Source organism: Homo sapiens, chromosome 6, assembly GCF_000001405.40.
Source record: "Homo sapiens chromosome 6, GRCh38.p14 Primary Assembly".
Taxonomy (NCBI): domain Eukaryota; kingdom Metazoa; phylum Chordata; class Mammalia; order Primates; family Hominidae; genus Homo; species Homo sapiens.
In genome coordinates this window covers 13951067-13972280 of record NC_000006.12, presented here as the reverse complement: position 1 = coordinate 13972280, position 21214 = coordinate 13951067, and the positions used below count along the sequence as shown (strand labels likewise).

The 21214-nt window shown below is 38.8% G+C and overlaps 1 protein-coding gene across 7 annotated transcripts in view; it reads right to left on the bottom strand.

The window, feature by feature from the left end:
* The window catches only part of RNF182 (ring finger protein 182), a 55865-nt gene that overhangs the window by 8030 nt on the left and 26621 nt on the right, over positions 1–21214 (bottom strand). For 2 of the 7 annotated variants that reach the window (NM_001165032.2, XM_047418370.1), the window contains exon 2: positions 10719–10801. The exons of the other annotated variants lie outside the window; for them this stretch is intronic. The gene's annotated coding sequence lies outside the window, so the exon portion shown is untranslated. The remainder of the gene's footprint in view (positions 1–10718; positions 10802–21214) is intronic. 7 annotated transcript variants of the gene reach the window in all.

Below are 21214 nucleotides of genomic sequence, written 5' to 3'. Positions count from 1 at the left end.
CAGGCTGGAGTGCAGTGGCACAATCTCAGCTCACTGCAAGTTCCACCTCCTGGGTACACACCATTCTCCTGCCTCAGCCTCCTGAGTAGCTGAGACTACAGGCGCGTTCCACCATGCCCAGCTAATTTTTTTTTTTTGTATTTTTTAGTAGACGGGGTTTCACCGTGTTAGCCAGGATGGTCTTGATCTCCTGATCTCGTGATCTGCCTGCCTTGGCCTCCCAAGGTGCTGGGATTACAGGCATGAGCCACTGCACCCAGCCGCTCTGTTTCCCTTTTAAACACAAATTCCAATTCCAAACCATATCTTTGTGAATACATAAAACTGAATGCTTTTAACAGCACCCAAATCACATCTTGAATGCTTTGCTGCTTAGAAATTTCTTTCACCACATACCCTAAATCATCTCTCTCAAGTTCAAAGTTCCACAGATCTCTAGGGCAGGGGCAAAATGCCATCAGTCTCTTTGCTAAAACATAGCAAGAGTCACCTTTATTCCAGTTCTCAACAAGTTCCTCATCTCCATCTGAGACAACCTCAACCTGGACCTTATTGTCCATATCACTATCAGCATTTTGGTCAAAGGCATTCAAAGTCTCTAGGAAATTCCAAACTTCCCCACATCTTTCTGTCTCTGAGCCCTCCAAGACTCTAGGAAGTTCCAAACTTGCCCACATTTTCCTGTCTTCTTCTGAGCCTTTCAAACTGTTCCAACCTCTGTCTGTTACCCAGTTCCAAAGTTGCTCCCACGTTTTCAGGTATCCTTATAGCAGTACCCCACTCCTGGTACTAATTTACTGTATTAGTTGATTCTTACGCTAATAAAGATATACCCAAGACTAAGTAATTTATAAAGAAAAAGAGGGTTAATGGACTCACAATTTCACATGGCTGGGGAGGCCTCACAATCATGACAGAAGGCGAAAAAGGAGCAAAGGCACATCTTATGTGGTGACAGGCAAGAGAGAATGAATGCCAAGTAAAATGGGAAACCCTTCATAAAATCATCAGATCTCATGAGAACTTACTATCATGAGAACAGTATGGGGGAAACTGCCCCCATAATTCAATTATCTCCACCTGGCTCCACCCTTGATGTGGGAATTATTACAGTTCAAGGTGAGATTTGGGTGGGGAAACAGAGCCAAATCATATCATCAGGACAGCCGACGCCTTGAAGGGAAGAAAAAACAGTGTCCAAGCAGACTTAGTGCAGGCTATGGAGTGGCTAACAATGCTCTCTTCTTGACCGGGGTGGTACTTACAAGTGTTCATTTTGTGCTACTCCATCACACAGTACGTCTTCTGTACTAGTGTTATCTTTCACAGTAAAAAAGGAAAGGAAAGGAAATAGAAAACGAAAAAGGAAAGAAAGGGAATCTATGACTGTTTTGGCTATTTTTATAGATACAGATTTTTCTACATTCAAAATGTATATTTTTCTGCCAACGCGTATTTTGGATCAACTTACTTTTTCCATATGATCTGTATGTAAGTCCATTAATTTTTTTCACAAAATTGAAATGTCACGTATCTATCACCTTAATATTCATGCATTACTATAAATCAATACTGGTGGTAAGAATATAAATTAGTACAACCACTATGGAAAACAGTATAAACATTTCTCAAAAAACTAAAAATAGAAATACCTTACAACCCAGCAATTCTTCTACTTGGTATCTATCCAAAGAAAAAGAAATCAATATATCAAAGGGATACATGCACCCCCATTTTTATTGCAGGACTATCCACAATAGCAAAGATATGGAATCAAGCTATGTGCCCATCAACAGAGGAATGGATAAAAAAATGTGAACTACTATTTGGCAATAACAAAGAATGAAATCCTGTCATTTGTAGCAACATGAATGGAACCAGAAGTGATTATGTTAAGTGCAATAAGCCAGGCACAGAAAGACAAATACCTCATGTTCTCACTCATATGGGAGCTAAAAAACTTTATCTCAGGATGAGGTGGGAGAGGGAGAAAGAAGAGAGGTTGGTTAATGGGTACAAACATACAATCAGATAGAAGAAATAATTCTAATATTTGATAGCATACTAGGGTGACTATACTTAGCAACAATAATGTGTATATTTCAAAGTAACCAGAAGGCTTGAAATACCAACATATAAAAATAATAAACAGTTAAGGTGATGAATACCCTAATTACCCTGACTTGACCATCATACATTCTTTGTATGTTACACTCACATGTACCCCATAAATATGTAAATTATTATATATTAACAAAAGAGGGAAAATGGATGAATCTCTAGGATGGACATATCTGTAGCATGCCTTGATAAGAACAAGTGCTAAAGTATGTCTCACCAGACACTGAGGAAAGAATCTGGTATGCTGAAATTGCCTTAAAAATAAATACAAAGTTTTCTTTTCCTAGAAAAATACATACATTTTCAAATATATGAAGCTGGTATTCCTAACTAACCAATGAACAGTCTTTCATCCTTTTATAAGTCATCTGGGGATAAGACTATACAAATAAATAATTACCTACTATTATTCTCATAAATTAGCTTGAGCTCCTGGACTATTGGGCAAATGATTGTTTTCACAGCCCTAAATAATAAACCACTTATTATTAGACTCAAATCCATCTTACTCTGCTACTTAATTCCCTTGATGGTGAAGATGCAAACTTGGCTTATATTTTAAAGCAAAGTCCCTCCAGTGGACACCTGTTGTTATTGTCTACCTAGGATCTTTTTTTCTCCTTTAGATCACATTGCTCCCTTCCCAACTGCCCCCACTTCTTCGGGGTAGTGTTTCCTACTCACTCAAATTACAAAATGGTGGGTGGGCTGTGCTAATCATAGTACCTCCCTTCTCTCCAAAGGTGTGGACTTGGGACCAGGCCTGGCTGATCACATACTCCACTACTCCCCTACTCACAAGGATTAGTCTAATGGGCATGTGACCCAAACCGGACTTCTCAAAGCTCCTGACTGCAACTCTTTATTTGAAGCTAGGGACAAGACAGGACAGGACAGGGACCAGGGGAAGGGATACAGAACCAGAAAAAGATGTATCAAGAAACTGCCATGGCAGCAAGAGGGAGAAGAAGAAGAATAAAGCCAAAAATATTAAGACAGTAAAGGAAAACAAGAGGCAGAGGTAAAACAACAACAACAACAACAACAACAACAAAAAACAGAGACAAGCCTGATGAGACCTGAACTGAGTTTCTGAAGTCAATAATGTATGAAGGTTTCTGTGAGCCAATAAATTCCTTTTTTTGCTTATGCTAGTTTTCTGGATGGATTTCTGTTACTTACAACCCAAAGTGCCCTAATACAGTTACCATGCTGTACTTGACGTTGAGAATTTATTGTGTTTTTAGATCTAGGTTCCTACTTAGTATTACAGAAATTTATATAAATAAATAATTCAACAAAACTCACAGGCAATAGGCATTCTCTAAGATTTCATTTGCACACGTGCACACATGCATGCACATGTACACATAAACACATTTACATATATAAATACACAAAGGTCATCAGACATATTTATTTATTTATTAGTGGCCTTTGTGTGTGTGCATTCTTTTTTATTTGGTTCTTTTCTCCTCCACCAGTATCAGCCTGAATACCACCCCAAATGAAATCTTAGAGAAACTTTACATCTGTACTGAAAATTAAATTGGTCTCTAGACTTTTTTGTGCTGTTAGGTTTTGGTATTAACTGTATGCTTATTTTATAAGTGAAACACGAGCTATTCATCTTCTGGAACAGTTTAAATACTGATAAAATTATGTGTTCTTTAAAAGTTACATAAAACTCAGCTGTAATTTCATATGATTCCATTGTCATTTGCAGTAGTAGATCTTTAATCATTTTTCCATCTCTTTTAGGGTTACTGTCCTATTCAAATGTTCATTTCTTCCTCAGTTAAATTTAGACATTTATATTTGACAAAGAAAAAATCCATTTCTTCTGGGTTTTCAAATTCATTGCTGTAGAGTTCCGCAAATTCTGTTATCGTCTTTGCATCACCTCTGCCCCTGATTGTTTCTTTTCTCACTTATAGTCTTCTAAATTGTTTTACTCCTTATTAATTACCTAATCAAACTATTTTACTGTGCTTTTCAAAGACCAACTAATATATGTATTTATCCTTTCTGTTACTTTTAATTTCATTAATTTCAGCTTTTATCTTTATTATTCCCTCTAATTTATTTTTGTTTGTTATGATTTTTTTCCCAATTCATACTAAGAGTACACTTTGTCTTTATGCTTAAATACTGAAAATAGCTAAAGACTATAGTGTTTCCACTGGCTACAGCTTTCACTCTATCCCATAGCTTGTGGAATAGATTGTGTACCTTTTATTGATTTCTAGATGGCTTGTGATTTGACCTTTGATTTCTCCTTTGATATAAAGGTAATACAGGGCCAGGCATGGTGGCTCACGCCTGTAATTCCAGGAGGCTGAGGGTAGAGAATCACTTGAGCCTTAGGAGTTTGAGACTAGCCAGGGCAATATTAGACTCCATCTCTATTTTTTAAAAAAAAATTAATAAATTTTAAAAAGGTTATATACTTTTCTTAAATTTCTAAATAAAATTTATTTTTTATTGCCATATGTAATTTCTAATAGTACGGGATTATGATCAGAGAACAAAATCTATAAGAAAATCTTTTCCTTTTAATTTATTATGGTGCTCTTTGTGGTAAAGTATATTTTTCTAAGTAGTCTAGAAAGAAATATTCTGTGTGGTTCTAGAATACCTATTAAACCTAACTTTTTAATTTATTCAATTTCTGAATCATCAAGGTATGTGCAAGGTTATCACAGGTCAAAACAAGTGAGAGAGGTTTATTTAAGTGTCTCACTATAACTATATTTGCATTTCTAACAGTTTTGTTTTACAGAGTTAGTGGCTATGTTAGCTTACATATACAACTTTATTTTCTTCATAAACTCTGCCTCTTTTTGTCATTATATAATGTCTTTCCTTATCCTATTTATGCCTTTAACTTAAATATCAACCTTTATACCTTATCTAAAGCTTATATTACTTGTTCTATTGACTCCGCATTTGCCTGGGATGTATGTGCATCCTTTCAACTCCATCTTCAATTACTTTATCTCGAATGTTTCTTATAAACAGCTGCCAGAGATGTGGTACACAGCCTGTAATCCCAGCACTTTGGGAGGCCAAGATAGGTGGATCACTTGAGCCCAAGAGTTGGAGACCAGCCTAGGAAACAAGGCAAAGCTCTGTCTCTACAAAAACATACAAAAATTAGCCAGGCGTGGTGGTGCACGCCTGTGGTCCCAGCTACTCAGAAGGCTGAGATGGGAGGCTCACTTGAGTCCAGGAGGCCGAGGCTGCAGTAAGCTATGATTGCACCACTGCACTCCAGCCTGGGCAACAGAGAGAGCATGTTTGAAAACACACACACACACACACACACGCACGCGCACACACACAAAACAGCATACTACTGGGTTTTACTTTTTTTTGGTGGGGGGGTGGGGGGGTGGGGACAGGTTCCTGATCTGTCGCCCAGGCTGGAGTGCAGTGGCATGATCTCAGCTCACTGTAACCTCCACCCCGCGGGGTCAAGCAATCTTCCCGCCTCAGCCTCCCAAGTAGCTGAGATTACAGGTGTGCGCCACCACGCTTAGCTAATTTTTGTATTTTTAGTAGAGACGGGGTTTTGCCATGTTGCCCAGGCTGGTCTCAAACTCCTGTACTCAAGCGATCCACCTACCTTGGCCTCCCAAAGTGCTGGGATTACAGGTATGAGCCACCATGCCTGACCTGGGTTTTGGTTTTTAACTCAGTCTGACAATTTTCCAATTAAAACATCTAATGAATTCTAAAAATTTGTGAATTTTCCAAGTTCATTCACCTTTAATGTAAAGGCTGTTATATATTAACTCATTCTTTCCTCCTCACTTGATTTATTTGATTCAATTCCAAATATTTCCCTCCTGTCATCTTCCTGTATCTCAAGGTCTGTGTTTCTGGTTAACTTTTTGTTCAGTTACTTTTTCTTTGTATTATTGAGTATCTTTGTCAGAAAATAGGTGATGATATTTCTAAATTCTTATGTAGTAATAAATTTCCTCCTGACAGGGAAATGTATGGGATTTTCTGGCTGCTGTCTTTTTTCTCTCTGAAACCAACCCAGTAGTCCTATAGACTATTCTTTTGTATAAACATAGATTGCCCTTTCTTGTCTTAAAGCTTAAAACTTGTATTTGTTTTATCTGAGCTCCGTCCTCAGGAGAGTACTTCCAGTCCACTCAAAAAAAAGTATCAAAGAACTGAAACTCACCAGATCACCACACCAGATCCTTGAGGGGCCCCTCACTGATCATGATTGCTTCCTTGCCCCTCTCTAGTTCCTGTTTTCTTATACATTGTTACATTTCTGCCCTGCTATATAAGCCCTCGGTTTTAGTCTGTCAGAGAGATGGATTTGAGAAGGATCTCCCATCTCCTCAGCCCCAGCACCCAATTAAAGCCTTCTTCCTTGGCAATACTCATCGTCTCGTGATTGGCTTTCTGTGTGGTGAGCAAGTAGGGCCTAGACCAAACCCTTGGTATTTTGGTAACATCTCCATGGCCTGCAGAAATTACTATTTCTAGTTTTCTGTGTCACAGATGAGAAATCTGCTGCTAGTGTGATACTTCTTCATGGTAAGTAATTTGCTCTGTCTAGAAGCTTCTAAGATTTTGCCTCTTATTCTTAATATATAGTTCAAGAACTTTTCCAATAAATCCAGAGTGTCTTTTTTCATAAATTTTGCCTGGAACTTAATAAGCTATTTGAATTTACAGACTCAAGTCCTGATTTTTAAGCTCAAAAAATTTGTTTCTTATATTTACTTAATTATTGCCTTTCCTCCATCTGTTCCTTTTTCTCTTTCTGGCTTTCCTGTTACTCACATGTTATATTTCCTGGATCTATTTTCTTTTGTGGTTTCCATTCCTTTATATTTTTGTTCTGTACTTTCAGATTCTTCTAGCTGACCAACTAGGCTACCAAATCAAGCCCCAAGAATGATCATTATCACCTTCAGTTCATTTACTAAAATGTTTGATGGGGAAATCATGCATTTCATCTCTAGAAAGTCTTCTTGTGCTGCATCTGCATCTCCTTATGTGCTCTTTCTATTTTTTGTCAGGTTGTCATCTGTCTCTGGCTGCCGCTCCATCACATTCAGCGTGAGTTCTGTCTGTTCTCATAGACTGCCTTCCCTTTGGCTACAGTGCCAATATTTTTCTTTGTTATATCACTGGGGTTCAGGTCTGATTGTTGAAGGACCCATGGAACTGAAGTTCTATGAGTAGGGTGAAACACAATGGTCTCTTCTCCTGTGATCTAGCAGTGTGACAGCAGGTGGGCTGCCAGGACCCTTCCAAGGTCTCCTGCTCCAAAGGACGCACCCAACTATGGATTTTTCTCCTTGGTCTCTTGTGGAACACACACACTATGGGGTGAGGGTGAGTTTCAGTTTTCCTCCCAGGAGTCCCCACCCTCTGTAGGTCAAGTTCATCACAGTATCCAGTGCATCCTGATCTTCTGGTGGGACTCATCAAATGGATGCCAGCCCTCGGTACCAGCCAAGCCTAGGAAGGAATCCCCCATCTGCTCCCCACTCCCCACCCTCAGCTTTCACAAAGCTTGGGGTTTCACTTGCACTCAGGGGTCTGCTGGCTCCAGGAGTCGTTGGGATCAGGAAAGGCAGATAGAGTAGAATTGAGAGAGCAAGATAGCAAGCCACTTTAGCTTGCTATCTTTCAAGAATCCTTGCCAACTATAATTCCTGGAGTTTTTCCCAAATATTTACCTAGATGGAAAAATGGAAATTTGTGATAAAAGTTTAATTTGGGCAGAACATTGGCAATACTAAGCATGTTCAGCGGCTATTACATAAAGATATGTACCAAACTGATACTCATCCCTAAGTTAACTGTTTCTGAAATTCACTTTTTAGAATTCTCCTTTTTGCATATTATTATTTTTTACTTCCTCTATATCAAACTGTCTCATTCTAAGAATCCATAAACTGGACACTCAAGGGTATGAGAATCATTTTCCTTTGCCTTTGGCTATCTTTCCTAAATAATGCCTTTCAAGTTCTACCTTTTAATTCAAAGACCTGTATTTCTATATACTAGTTAGATAATGATTCTTTTTTTTTTTTTACATTTTAAAAAATTCGTGTTTTTCTTAACTGAGATTGTCTTGAGTCTTTGCTGTTTGGATCTTGAACTGTTTTTGGGTCTTCTTCCCCACTTTTTCATGATATTACCCTTCAATTTCAAATTTTTTAATTTATTACTAAACCATCTCCCCTAAATACTCTTTGCCCTAGCCCCTATCATGTGTGGCAACTTGTCTGCAAATATGGCTGCAATAATTCTCCACAGACCTGTACAAATACTTTCTACAATGTGATCTTCTTTTCATCTGATCAACAAGTAGAGGAATCTGTTTTTCCCCACCCCTTAAATCTTGGCCTTGTGACTTGCTTTGACCAACATTAAGAGTGTGAAGCAAATTTCTGACCTCAGGGTGTCTTGAAGCTTCTGCTCTTGCTCTCTTGGAATTCTGAGACCACCATCAAAGAAGCCCAGGCTAGCCTCTCTGAAGATGAGAAACCATAGAGAGAAAGGCCCAGACAAAAGCCAGCACCAACTCTAGTCATGTGAGACCATTAGAGACCATCCAGCCTCAACTAACCACCAGGGACAACACCTGTTTGAATGAGTAGCACCATGAAAGAACAGCTGAAGAATGTGCCCCACTGAGCCCAGTAGAAAATGCTGAGCCACAGACTCATGAACCAATAAAATGGCTGTTGTTTCCAGCCACTAGTTTTGAGGTGCTTTTGTAACAATAGATAAGCAAAATAGCATGCTATTTCTTTCCAAATTAATCCAAAGCCAATCTCTGCCCAAAGAAATTATTTCCCTCATTTATCAATGAGTATCATGCCTACCTAGAAGACTCTTTTATGAACTTTGAAGCTGTCCAATCCATACATCTTGCAAGTTCTGTCAGTCAAAATACAGTTTCTATGTATTCTTCCATGCATAAACTTTAATAATTTGTATTATGATAACTTCTATTAATTCAAGTCTTTTTAAAAAGCTCAAAAATTTTAGAAACACTGCATAAGCTCTACTACAGTAAGGGGAAATTATAATTCCCACTTAATAGGCATATGAACATCCATTGAAGTATCTTTCCTAAGATTACATAAGAAGTCAGGACAAAAAAAGTCAAAATAAGTAGAGCTCAAAAAAACAAAACAAAAAACAGAGCTGTCACTGTGATCCTATTATCTATCCAGGGCTCTATGCTATGTATTACTCCACTGTCCATATGAATTAATTGTATAGGTCTTAGGGTAAGTTGAGTTTCTTCAAAATATTTCATATACAGTTTCATGTAGCCTGAATCATTCTTATAGAATCCATCAACCATTTTAATGCGGCATCAACAGGAGAGATTATATTTTTCCCCTTATGAAAAGACAACTGTCAAATTTCAACTCTCATTTCCAAAATATTCCTCCCATCCTGGAAAATAAATGTTGTAAACACTGCTTTCTAGATGATGAGACAATATATTTTAAATGGCTCTGTAACAAGAAAACTGATAGAAGTTAAGGTATTGTCATTTTCATTAACTATGGTTTCTGTTTTTATAAATGGTGCTAAATACCTGCTTCTATGTTCAATTTATTTTGTGCAAAATGGAGAATCACTCTTCAAACACTTTCACTTCTTGATTATCAGTTTCTATGATGTCTTAAATTCTTTGACTAATAACTCTATCTTCAAAAACATATGAGAGATTCTAGCACTTGTAGCATCATTTTTCTTTGTGACTATCAAGGCAGAACATTGGTTTTTACGCTCAGCTATTGATAAAGTACACATGCTTGCCATCTCTCTGACACCCAATTGCTCATTCACAAAACCCGATGTTCCTAACCTCATTATTTATGGAGCTTGAGTCTCAAATTAAGCTTAAACCACACATGTGGCATCTACCTCCAAGAAAGTCCAGTTTTTCCACCTAGAGATTCAGAAGCTGGATTCTAGTTAGAGCTTAAAAGACTCTCATTACTGTTAATAATTACTAACAATAATATGTTGGCCTCAGTCCCAATTATCAGTTATCCCTTAGTGAGCATTAACAATAGTTGAACTTTGTAGAGACGATGGTCTCAGAATTAAGGGTTTTACTATGCCTTTCATTAAAAACTATGCCTTTCATTAAAATGCCATTCAAAAAAATCCTTCTCACTATAATAAAAGTCTCCAACTCAAAAATCCTAAAAAGAATAGGCTCAACAAATGCCAAGTACTCATTCTTGAAGGACCATCAGCTGACTCTAGAAGAATTTAACCCACAATACCCATAACCCCTAATGGTTGTTTGGCAGCATAAGGAGCAATTCCAGAAAGCCTCCCTCAACAATTAAAACTCTTACCTCCCCCCTCCTCCAAGAACATGCAATTTAATTTGATGGAGAGTCATAATCTATTTATTAGGATACAGCCAAGTTAATAACCTAGCAATCTAAGTTATTAATTTTGGAAGAGAGGCCACTATTTTTATATATGGAGTTGTGATTTATGCTGTGCTGTTTGCCAGCAGTTTTAAACCAATAAATGTTCAGGAATAAGAGAGAAAAAAACCAGGTACTCCGCACCCTATATTTAGGTATCCACATCTGCTTTCTTCTTCAAGACTCTGGAAGTGCAGCCAGGAGTATGACCATCCCTTGCAGGCAGTCTACAATGGAAGCACATAGCATCTAGAGTCAGGAGACCGAGATTTGGGACCTGGCTCTGACACTGTGATCTTGGACTAAAAGACAACACCTGCCTCACAAAGTGGTTGTGAGGATTCAATGGAATCATTTAGGTGTAAATACTTTACATACATAAGCACTATATGGATGCGACTAGAAATTTAGAAATAATGGATCCATTGATATGGTACTTCAGCATTCTAAATTGGTAGTAGACAGAATATGCATTGAACACAGTATCAGAAGGTATACAGGTTTTCTGTCTATAGATAGAGCAGATAGTAAGTACAGCAAGTAAAGCACAATTTACCAATGTTGTAATAACTTCCGCTACCTGATAAGCTGAGAGGGAAATGTCATTATTTCTCTTTTGTTTATATTATCTATATGGAACGCCAACAAATAATATATAAAGCTCATAAGTCTAGGTTTTTGCTTAGTACCTTACTCTTTATTTGGAAGATGCAAACAAAGATATAATTTAAGATCATGATTAATAAGAATATGGCCTGAAAATTAGATTATTAAGAATGACTGAATCTTCTTCCATTAGACTAATTTCTTTCCTATTAATTTCTTCCTTCATAATTTCCCTTGGCCAAAGTTTAATAAAACTCTCTAACCTTATCAAGAAAAACTAAAATGTCTAAAGAAATTAGCATAGGTTATATGTACCATTTCTACAATTTCAAACTTAAGTAGATTATTTTGATGCCTATTTCACTAAATGTAACTAATACTGTACATCACATGCATGTGCACGCGCGCACACACACACACACACACACACACACACACACACACTCTCTCTCTCCCTCCATCAAAAAAGTACATATTACTCCCAAAGCCATGGCTGAAAATCACCAACTGTCCTTCATCAATACATTTGTGATTGACAGAAAAGTCGTCTTCAACTGCTATAGAATTCACTTAAAAGAGTAACAGTTGGGTTTGGTTTTTTGTTTGTGTTTGTTTGTTTTTTGTAAAGACGGGGTCTTGGTATATTGCCCAGACTGGTCTCAAATTCCTGGCCTCAAGTGATCCTCCTGCCTTGGCCTCCCAACGTGCTGGGATTACAGATATAAGCCATTGCACCTGGCCAAGTTAGGTTTTAATTCTTGATGGACTCATGATGTAGCCCTCTTTTGATATATTATCACTTTCATTTAATAATTCAGCAAGCATTTACTTAATATCTATTAAGTGTCATACCATGTGCAAGATGCTGGGGATGCAAAGACAATCAAGACAAGGTTCCTGAAAGCAGAGGCTGATTGTAAAGGCAAATGGATCCTTTTCTGTCTTCACCTTGTCTCACCTGTCCTTCACCTTCTTCCCAATGACTATACCCTTACTCTTGAAACTATCTATTCTCACAGGTTCCATGACATCACAGTCTTCCAGCTTTCCTCCTAGTTCACTGATCACTATTCTCAATCTTTTCTGCCAGCTCCTCTTCTATCAAATCTCTAGATGTTAGAACTCCCTAGCCCTTGCTTGCACTCTTTCCCTTGGATTGTTCCATCTCCTCCAGTAGCTTTGAATATCATGACATGATGACTGCCCCCCAGTTTGTGTCTGCAGCCTATCCCTTCCCTCTGAGTTCCAGAGGGCTTACAGTACCTCCATTTGTATTAACACAAACACTTCAAATTTAACAGGTCTAAGACAAATTTCAACCCTCACCTCTCACTACCACCAAATTGTTTCCTGCAGTTTTCCCCATTTTAATAAATGGCACCACCATTCTCTCAGTTTTTCAAAAACTAGGAGTCACCTTTGATTCTACATTATACCTCACTCCTCATGTCCAATCCATTGGCAAGCCAGTCAATTCAACCAAAGTATGTTTCCAATCTTCCAATTTCATTCCATCTTCATCATCAACATCCTAATCCAGGTTTTGACCTTGTTCATTGCAGAACCTTCTAATTTATCTTCATGCTTCTAATCTTGCCCCACTATAAATTATTTTCATTGCAATAACCAAAGTAAGCTTCTAAAAATGTAAATGGGATTATATCTACCATCCGTTTATTACACTTAAATCATTTTTCATTACATAGAGATTAAAATCCAAACTCTACACAGCAAGGTACCGTATAATCTGGCCTCTGCCTTCCCTCCAACCCTGTCTTGAACTTATTGTTTTCCTGCCGCCCTGGCCTTTGTTAAGTTCCATGAACAGTACAAAGTCTTTCATGTTTTAGGCTGTTTGCTCAATGTGAAATGTCATACTAATCTCATTCCTTCTTAGAGATCTTGCCTTAGTCTGTTTTGTGTTGCTATAAAGGAATACCTTGACGCTGGGTAAATTATAAAGAAAAGAGGTTTATTTGATTCAGAATTCTGGCTGGCTGGCAAGTTCAGGACTGGACATCTGCATATGAAGAGGATCTCAGGCTGCTTCTATCCATGGGAAGAAATGAAAGGGAGCCGATATCTGCAGAGATCACATGGCAAGATAGGAAGCAAGAGACAGGGGAGGTGCCAGGCTCTTTTTAACAATGAGCTCTCAAGGGAACTAACAAGAATAAGAATTCATTCACCCCCAAAGAAGAGCATTAATCTATTCATGAGAGATCTAGTCAAATTTCAACATGAGGTCTAGAAGTAACAAATATCCAAAACCACAGCAGATCTCAATATGAAGTCCTCAAGGAGGTCCTCTCCAATTACTCGTTTTCAAAATCCCTTACCCCTTATTTTCTATTATGGCACTCTGTTTACTTCCTTCAACAAACTTCAAGAAGCCCAATTTAACTTATTTGTTTGTTCTAAATTTCTACTACTAAAATGTAAATTATAAGAATATAAGAACCACTAATATGTTGCTTACCATTCTAGCACAAGCACCTATCATAAGCTAGCACAGAGTAGATAATAAATACCTGCCATATAAATATATTGAAATGTCTCCAAGACTCCTCCCACCTCTTCCTATCCATGAATGGTATACCACACCCTTCTGAGTGTGGTGAAGTCAGCACTTTGTCTTGATAAATATTCTTGAATGCTACACATTTTATAATGTAGACTTTCAGATTATAGATTTTATTATTATTATTATTATTTTGAGATGGAGTCTTGCTCTGTTGCCAGGCTGGAGTGCAGTGGTGCAATCTCGGCTCACTGCAACCTCCCTCTCCCGGGTTCAGGCGATTCTCCTGCTTCAGCCTCCCAAGTAGCTAGGACTACAGGCGCACACCACCACACCCAGCTAACTTTTGTATTTTTAATAGAGACGGGGTTTCACCATGTTGGACAGGATGGTCTCTATCTCTTGACCTCGTGATCTGCCTGCCTCGGCCTCCCAACAGATTATAAATTTAACATTCTAAAATGTCCATAAAAATATCAAATCAGATGAACTTCCCAAGAAATCTATAAACATTAAAAAAAACATAAAAGACTTATAAGTCATAGCATCTAGGAAGCTCTCAATACATGTTGAAAAAATAAAAGAATTCCATTCTTTGTCTTCATCATTTAAAATCTCCAATTGATAAATATTTGTCCACAATCAGCTTCAGGTTTAGGCTCACCAAAAGTATCTATTAATACAATTCAGAGAATAAAATTCTCATAGGATTGTTTCTCTGTAAATGTCCAGATGTCAACCTGAAGAAGTATACTTTGTCCTTAAGGCTTTTAAATTTTCCACAAATGTTTCTTTACATACTAGCAAAATAGTTATCACTACAATATCTCAGTATTCACAGTGTTCTAAAAATTACAAATACAGTTAAAGCCACAAAGGTATTATTTTTATAATATTATCCTAAAATAAAAACAAAGTCACAAACCAAAACGTTTTGCTCACTTTCCATAATTCTAAAGAATACACCATCTCTTCTCCAGCATTAATAAAAATGGCTACAACATCTCATGAGATGAAGCAGATTTCTGTTCACCAAGGTCCAACCGTACTCGGACTCAGCAAAAATGTCACCAATCCAATTAATGAAATGCCTCAATTAATAATGGGCAAAAAGGTTTTAAAAGGAAATTTAAAAACTTTCTATATTCTACCACATTTAATACATGACTTAATCCAAGCTTGACAAGAAGAAAAAGAACTATAGATTAAATTTTATTGAATTTATTTGCCCTCAGTGGCTTTTCTCAATAGGCCTTTTAGAATCAATCTTAATGAATGTGTCACTTTGCAACACAGCCACATAATGTGGCATTGTTGATTGACATATATTCAACTGTGAAGATTAGGATAAAGTAAAAGCCTGCAGTGTTTTTTAAATGAGACAAAATGATACTTACATAAAAAGAAGATTGCTAGGAAAGATAGTTTTATATTTATTGTATATTAAGTAGTTTTGCCGTGTGACAGACATTCTAAATACTCTATCCCAAAAGGCACCTATGCAAGATGGAGTCACTCTAGTTTGAATACCTCTGACAGATTCCTTGGTGTGGAAACTGTGTGGCATTTCATTCCATTCGGTCACACAGTGGACAGGTGATTTACTAGTGAAGATGTAGAACAAAGGGATTAGTACTGCCCTGGGTGTGTGTGTATGGTGGGGGGCGGGGGGTGGTGCTTGTTACTGACTATAGAGCAGGAAGAAAGTAGAGCATGGCTTCCTTTCATATCAGCCCAGGAAATGATGAATTTGGGGAAGCTTTTAAATTATAAATACATTCTTCCTATATTTGTGGTTGAGAGAAAAAGAGCTCAGCCGTTGGTATCCTTGAAGACGGTCATAATTAGTCTGGAAAACCTCCATGGAAAGAAGTGAAACTTACGACACTTTTGTAGTGAGCCAAGATACATTAAGCAGAGAAAGAACATTATAGAGTAGTCTAACGCAAAGGACAGGCCGGGAGCATTGGCTCACGCAGGTAATCCCAGCACTCTGGGAGGCCAAGACGGGTGGATCACCTGAGGTCAGGAGTTTGAGACCAACCTGGCCAACACGGTGAAACCCCATCTCTGCTGAAAATACAAAAATTAGCTGGGTGTGGTGGCATGCATCTGTAATCCCAGCTACTAGGGAGGCTGAGGCAGGAGAATCAATTGAATCTGGGAGGTGGAGGTTGCAGTGAGCGTAGATCACACCATTGCACTCCAGCCTGGATGATGGGAGCAAGACTCCATCTCAAAAAAACAAAAAAGGAAAAAAAAAAAAAGCAAAGAACAGTCAGGATATATTAGGCCAAAGCAGAGACAGTGTGCAGCAGAAGCTAAAAACAGACAGCTGGTCACTATTACAATAGCCAATAGCCAAGATTTGGAATCAAGTGGCCATCAACAGATGAATGGATATAAAAATGTGGTAGGTATACACAATGAAATACTATTCAGCCCTAAGCAAGAATGAAATCTTGTCATCTGCAGCAATATGAATAAGTCTGAACGACATTATGTGAAGTGAAAGAAGCCAGGCACAGAAAGAGAAGTACTGAACGTTCTCACTCATATGTGGGAGCTAATAAAAAGTTTTAGCCCATGGAAATGTTAAATATTATGTAAAACTGTTGGAAAGAATCAAATTTCTGAATTTGAAAACCATATATTTTCATACCTAATAAAGGTATGAAAATGGGGAGGGCATAGAGATAGGGTCTTGCTATGTTGTCCAGGCTGGTCTTGAACTCCTGGCCTCAAGCAATCCTCCCACCTCAACCTCCCAAAGTGCTGCAATTACAGGTGTGAGCCACACTGTACCTGGCCTAATAAAACTTTTAAAAAATGGTACCATGGTGGATCATAAAGCTGCAGACAGAGACCACTCATACAATTTACAATAACAGTACAACTGAGACATGGAAACATTCTGCCATGGAGCACATAATGCATCAAGGGCCCTGTGGTTGCTGTGCAACTGTTAACCAACACCAGCCATGGGGCTCCTCCTGTGTACCCACAGGGCCTAAGTCCAGAAAGACTGAAACACCAAGTATGTTAAAAAGCCATTATTTCATGGTGATACTTAAAAAACAAAATGAACTCCTTTGGAAGATGTGAGGAACATAACCCACTCTGAAACCAAATAACCAAGGGAAAGACACAAGAATTTATTCTGCCTTTTCTTTATATGCAGCTTCCTTTCTGTTATGCCTTTAAAGTAACCAAATAATTGATGAGGTAAAATTCTTTTTATAGAAGGATTTCAACCAATGATGGAATTGTATTACTGTGTAATCCTTAGTACAATAATCAATCTAGATCAAGAGTTGGCAGATAACTCCCAGTAGGTCCAAATCTAATCTGGTAAATGAAGTTTTATGGGCACGTAGTTGTACCCATTCATGCACATCCCGTCCAACGCTGCATTCCTACTACAATGACAGAGACCATATTGGCCCTCAAAGCCAAAACTATTTACTATCTGGCTCTTTACATAAAAAGTTTACTGACCCCTAACCTACACAATAATTATCAATGGCTGCCAAAATCACAAAGCAAAAAACAGATAAGGAGGCGGATGACACACAGGTCAGGCTTACAACACCTGTGCTCACTGATGGGGCTTCACACAACAAAGGGAGGGACAAGGCAGCAGTTGCCTCCTGATGCCATGCAGCAGGAAGCGTAGAGCCCCTCCACCTTCACAGGCCTTCTTGCCAAAAATCTGAAAATATGATCAAACCTCAGGTTCTCATTACCTGTTCACAGGAAATACAGGGGACAGAAAAATGAATTAAAGTACATGGGGATGTAGTTAGTTAAAATTCTGACTGTGAGAAATTCTACAGGACAAAGGATCCAGTTTCTTCAATAAATAAATTGCAAGGAAAAAAAGAAGGGTGAACCCACAGACCAAGGATGCCCAATCTTTCAGTTTCCTGTGCCACACTGTAAGGGAGAATTGTCTTGAGCAACACATAAAATACACTAATACTAATGATACCCAAAGAGCTAAAAAAAAAATTTAATTTAATTTAAATTTAAATTTAAAAATCCCATAATGTTCTCAGAAAGTTTATGAATTTTTGTTGAACCACATTCAAAGCTGTCCTGGCAGCATGTGGCCCACAGGCCACAGGTTAGAAAAGCTTGCTATAGACTAAAAGCCTAAGAGATTTATTAGCTAAATACATGAGTAGTCCTTGTTTGGATTCTAATTCTAACCAACCAATGGGGAAGGGGAGAATTTACAAGACAATAAGGGAAATTTGAATACCAATATTTCATGACAGTAAGGAATTACTCTGCAATTGTTTTCTGGTGTGATAATGACATTGCAGTTATATTATTTAAAGGCAAGTCTCTTCAATGTTTTGAAGATACATACTGAGGTTTCACAGATGAAATAATATGACATCTGGGCTTTGTTTCAAAATAATCCAATGGGGAGGGGGGCAGATAAATGAAGCAAGATTGGCCATATGTTGATCACTGTTGAGGCTGAGTGATAAGTAAAAAGGGATTCATTATATCATTTTCTCTACTTTTGAATATGTTTAAACTTTTTCCATAATAAAAAGATAAAAATAAAATCATTAGCAAAGCTTTCTCTCTACTTTCCAACATCTGTGCTCATGGATGCTTTGTTTCTCCCCCTGCCCATCCACCATGTATATTCATTCATTAACCAAATGCCTACTGAATGTTTAGTACAGCATAAGCCCTGGGCTAGGTGCTGGCGATGGCCTCACCTTCAAGAAATATACAGTCTAGAGGGGGAGCCCATAAGGAACTCAGCCATTACCACGCTTGATGGTCAATGTCGCATGAGCAGGACCCACAGAGTGCTAAGGAATGCAGAGAAGGCGCATCTATGCCTTCCCATGTTCCTCATTCCCACTCCTTAATATTCTTTAACAGCATGGCTAATCTCTCCTGATTGTCTACTTTGCTCTTCTAAGGAGAAATTTCCTTTCTCTAAGTGGCCCTGACTTACGCCACTTTATAAGCCAGAGGCTTCACACTGCCTATTCCATGACTCGTGAATATAAAACACTGGACTCTTCCTCCACTCTGTTCCCTGCATGCCTTTGACTTCTGTGATAACTACCCTGACAGCCCCAAAATCCCATCCTCACCCAGTCTCTCCTACTTACCTCCTGCTCTATAGCCAGTAACAACTGCCACCACCCCTCTGCCCCCCACCATACACACACACCCAGGGCAGTACTAATCCCTTTGTTCTACATCTTCACTAGTAACTCACCTGTCCACTGTGTCACTGAATGGAATGAAATGCCACACAGTTTCCACACCAAGGAATCTGTCAGAAGTGTTCAAACTAGAGTGACTCCTTCTTGCCTAGGGGCTGAGTAAAATGAGGCTGAGACCTACTGGCTGCATTCCTAGGAGGCTAGGCTTTCTTAGTCACAGGATATTAACAGTTAAGGGAAGAAGTTAATAATGTTTATTGAACAGACCCAGGACTTAACAAACCCAGTAAATAACAGACCCAGGAAATGTCCTGATGTCCTGTCTTATGAACAAAAGCATTCTTAGTTTAAGTTTTGCAGTAACATTCCATCTCAAAAGGAAAAAAGAATAAGTTTTGCTTTAAAAATAATATTCCTGTGAAAGTAGTTACACAAAGATTAACAGTCCTTTGTCACAAGCCGTTGTAGTAGAGCACATCTCCCTACGACTTTTTGCTTTGTTATCTTATATATAAACAAGCATTGTACCTAACTAAGACAGATGTGTTCCTCCTCTCGCTTTTGGGAATGCCCTGGTCTCTCTGTGGAGTAGTCACCTTTTTATTCCCTTACTTTCTTCATGAACTTGCTTTCACTTTATTCTGTGGACTTGCCTCAAATTGTTTCCTGTGCAATATCTGAGAACCCTCTCTTGGGGTCTGGACTGGGACCCCTTTCCAGTAACATATTCTGTGATGAGCCATGAAGGGATGATACCGGAGAGACCCCCACTTAACCAAAGGAAAATCGTCTGCACAGCACCAATTGGCCGACTTTGGATAAACCGTAGGATACATTTCATCCCAGGTAAAGGACAAAGTTGGGTTAAAGACCCAACTCAGAAGGGTTAGCATCCCTCCCGAGACGTAAGGGGTTAGAGGGTCCTCTCAGTAAGGCCTCTTTTGGTCAAAAATGGATTTGACACTATGGGATGTTGACCGCTTTTCTCTGTGGATTAATCTGCCTTGAACTCTTTGCTGACAGCTGTGGGTGACAGGATTAGGCATGTACAGGATAGTGGGACAATGAGGAGCTTTCTCTCCCGCAAAGGGGGAAATGTGAGAGCTGACGGCCTGCTGGAGAAGATCTCTTCACAACTGACAAGCAGCTGCCTAGACTTTTGATTCAGTGTTGCTGCACTGGGTGGGTCTTTCCCTGGTCTCCCTGAGCTCCTCGCCTCCCAGCCCCACAACAGACAATGCTTTTCGCCCTTCCCTTTCCTCTCTCTCTCTCCTGTCTCTTTACTATCTTTTCTGTCTTGCAGGGCAACTGTCTGCTTTTCCATCTTGCCCAGAGACCACATGTTGAAACTCCTGGTTAGAGGTCATCCCACCCCACTTTAAGTGGATCAAAGATGACAGGCAGGGGCCAAAAGGGGCAAGTTTGAGCCTTGCCAGGTTGATGCTGGGTGATGAGTGGGGTGACTAGTATCTAAGTTTGTCATGTGTATTTTGCTCTGGACAAAATGGAAAATGTTCATTTGTTTCCCCCACATAGCCTGTTGGGTGGCATCTTGCAAAACTGAGAGTCTTTGCCTATGGGTCCACGAAATGGAAAAAGATGATTTTCTTTTATAATGTGGCTTGGACCCCACAGCTATGGGGCAACAAGCAAGACTATCAGAGCCACTCAGAGAAAGGTAACCCAGAAACCTGGCATGCTGGCAAAAAGGTAGGAATTTCCTACCAGTCAGGCTTCTGGCCTGTCTGTGAAAACTGGTTAAATGAATGGTCAAAATCACTTGCATTATGAGAGCTTTTAGCCTTGGTGTGTAATAACTAGGTAGGACATATACTTTTAGGGACAGCTAATGGCAGCTATGAGGGAGGAATACTCTGCTCTTGGCACACTGGGATCAGAGAAGCATGTTCTTGACCACCTGGAAGGTACGGAAATGTCCCCACCCCAACTGAGAGATAAGACTCCCATAGGGGATGGGCTAATTCTCTCTTTTTGGGGATCAAGGATCCAGTATAAAAATGGGGCTCTTAATTTTGGAGGATCTGTTTTGCCTTCCAACCATGCCTGCTTATTAGGCCCTAGAAACTGCATGCTTTCCTGACCCTGTTCCTTGAAGGTCTTCTGCCTGAAGCCAGTAATCCAGTTAAGAAACTTAAAACTGGCAAATAAAAAATATTATAACTATTAGATCTTCTTCCATCTCTCCGTGTATTTATATGTGTTGTGTGTGTGATGTTTACATATGAAAGAGCTCTGGTTAACTGACTTAAAGAAAAATAAGTGGCTGGGCACAATGGCTCACACCTGTAATC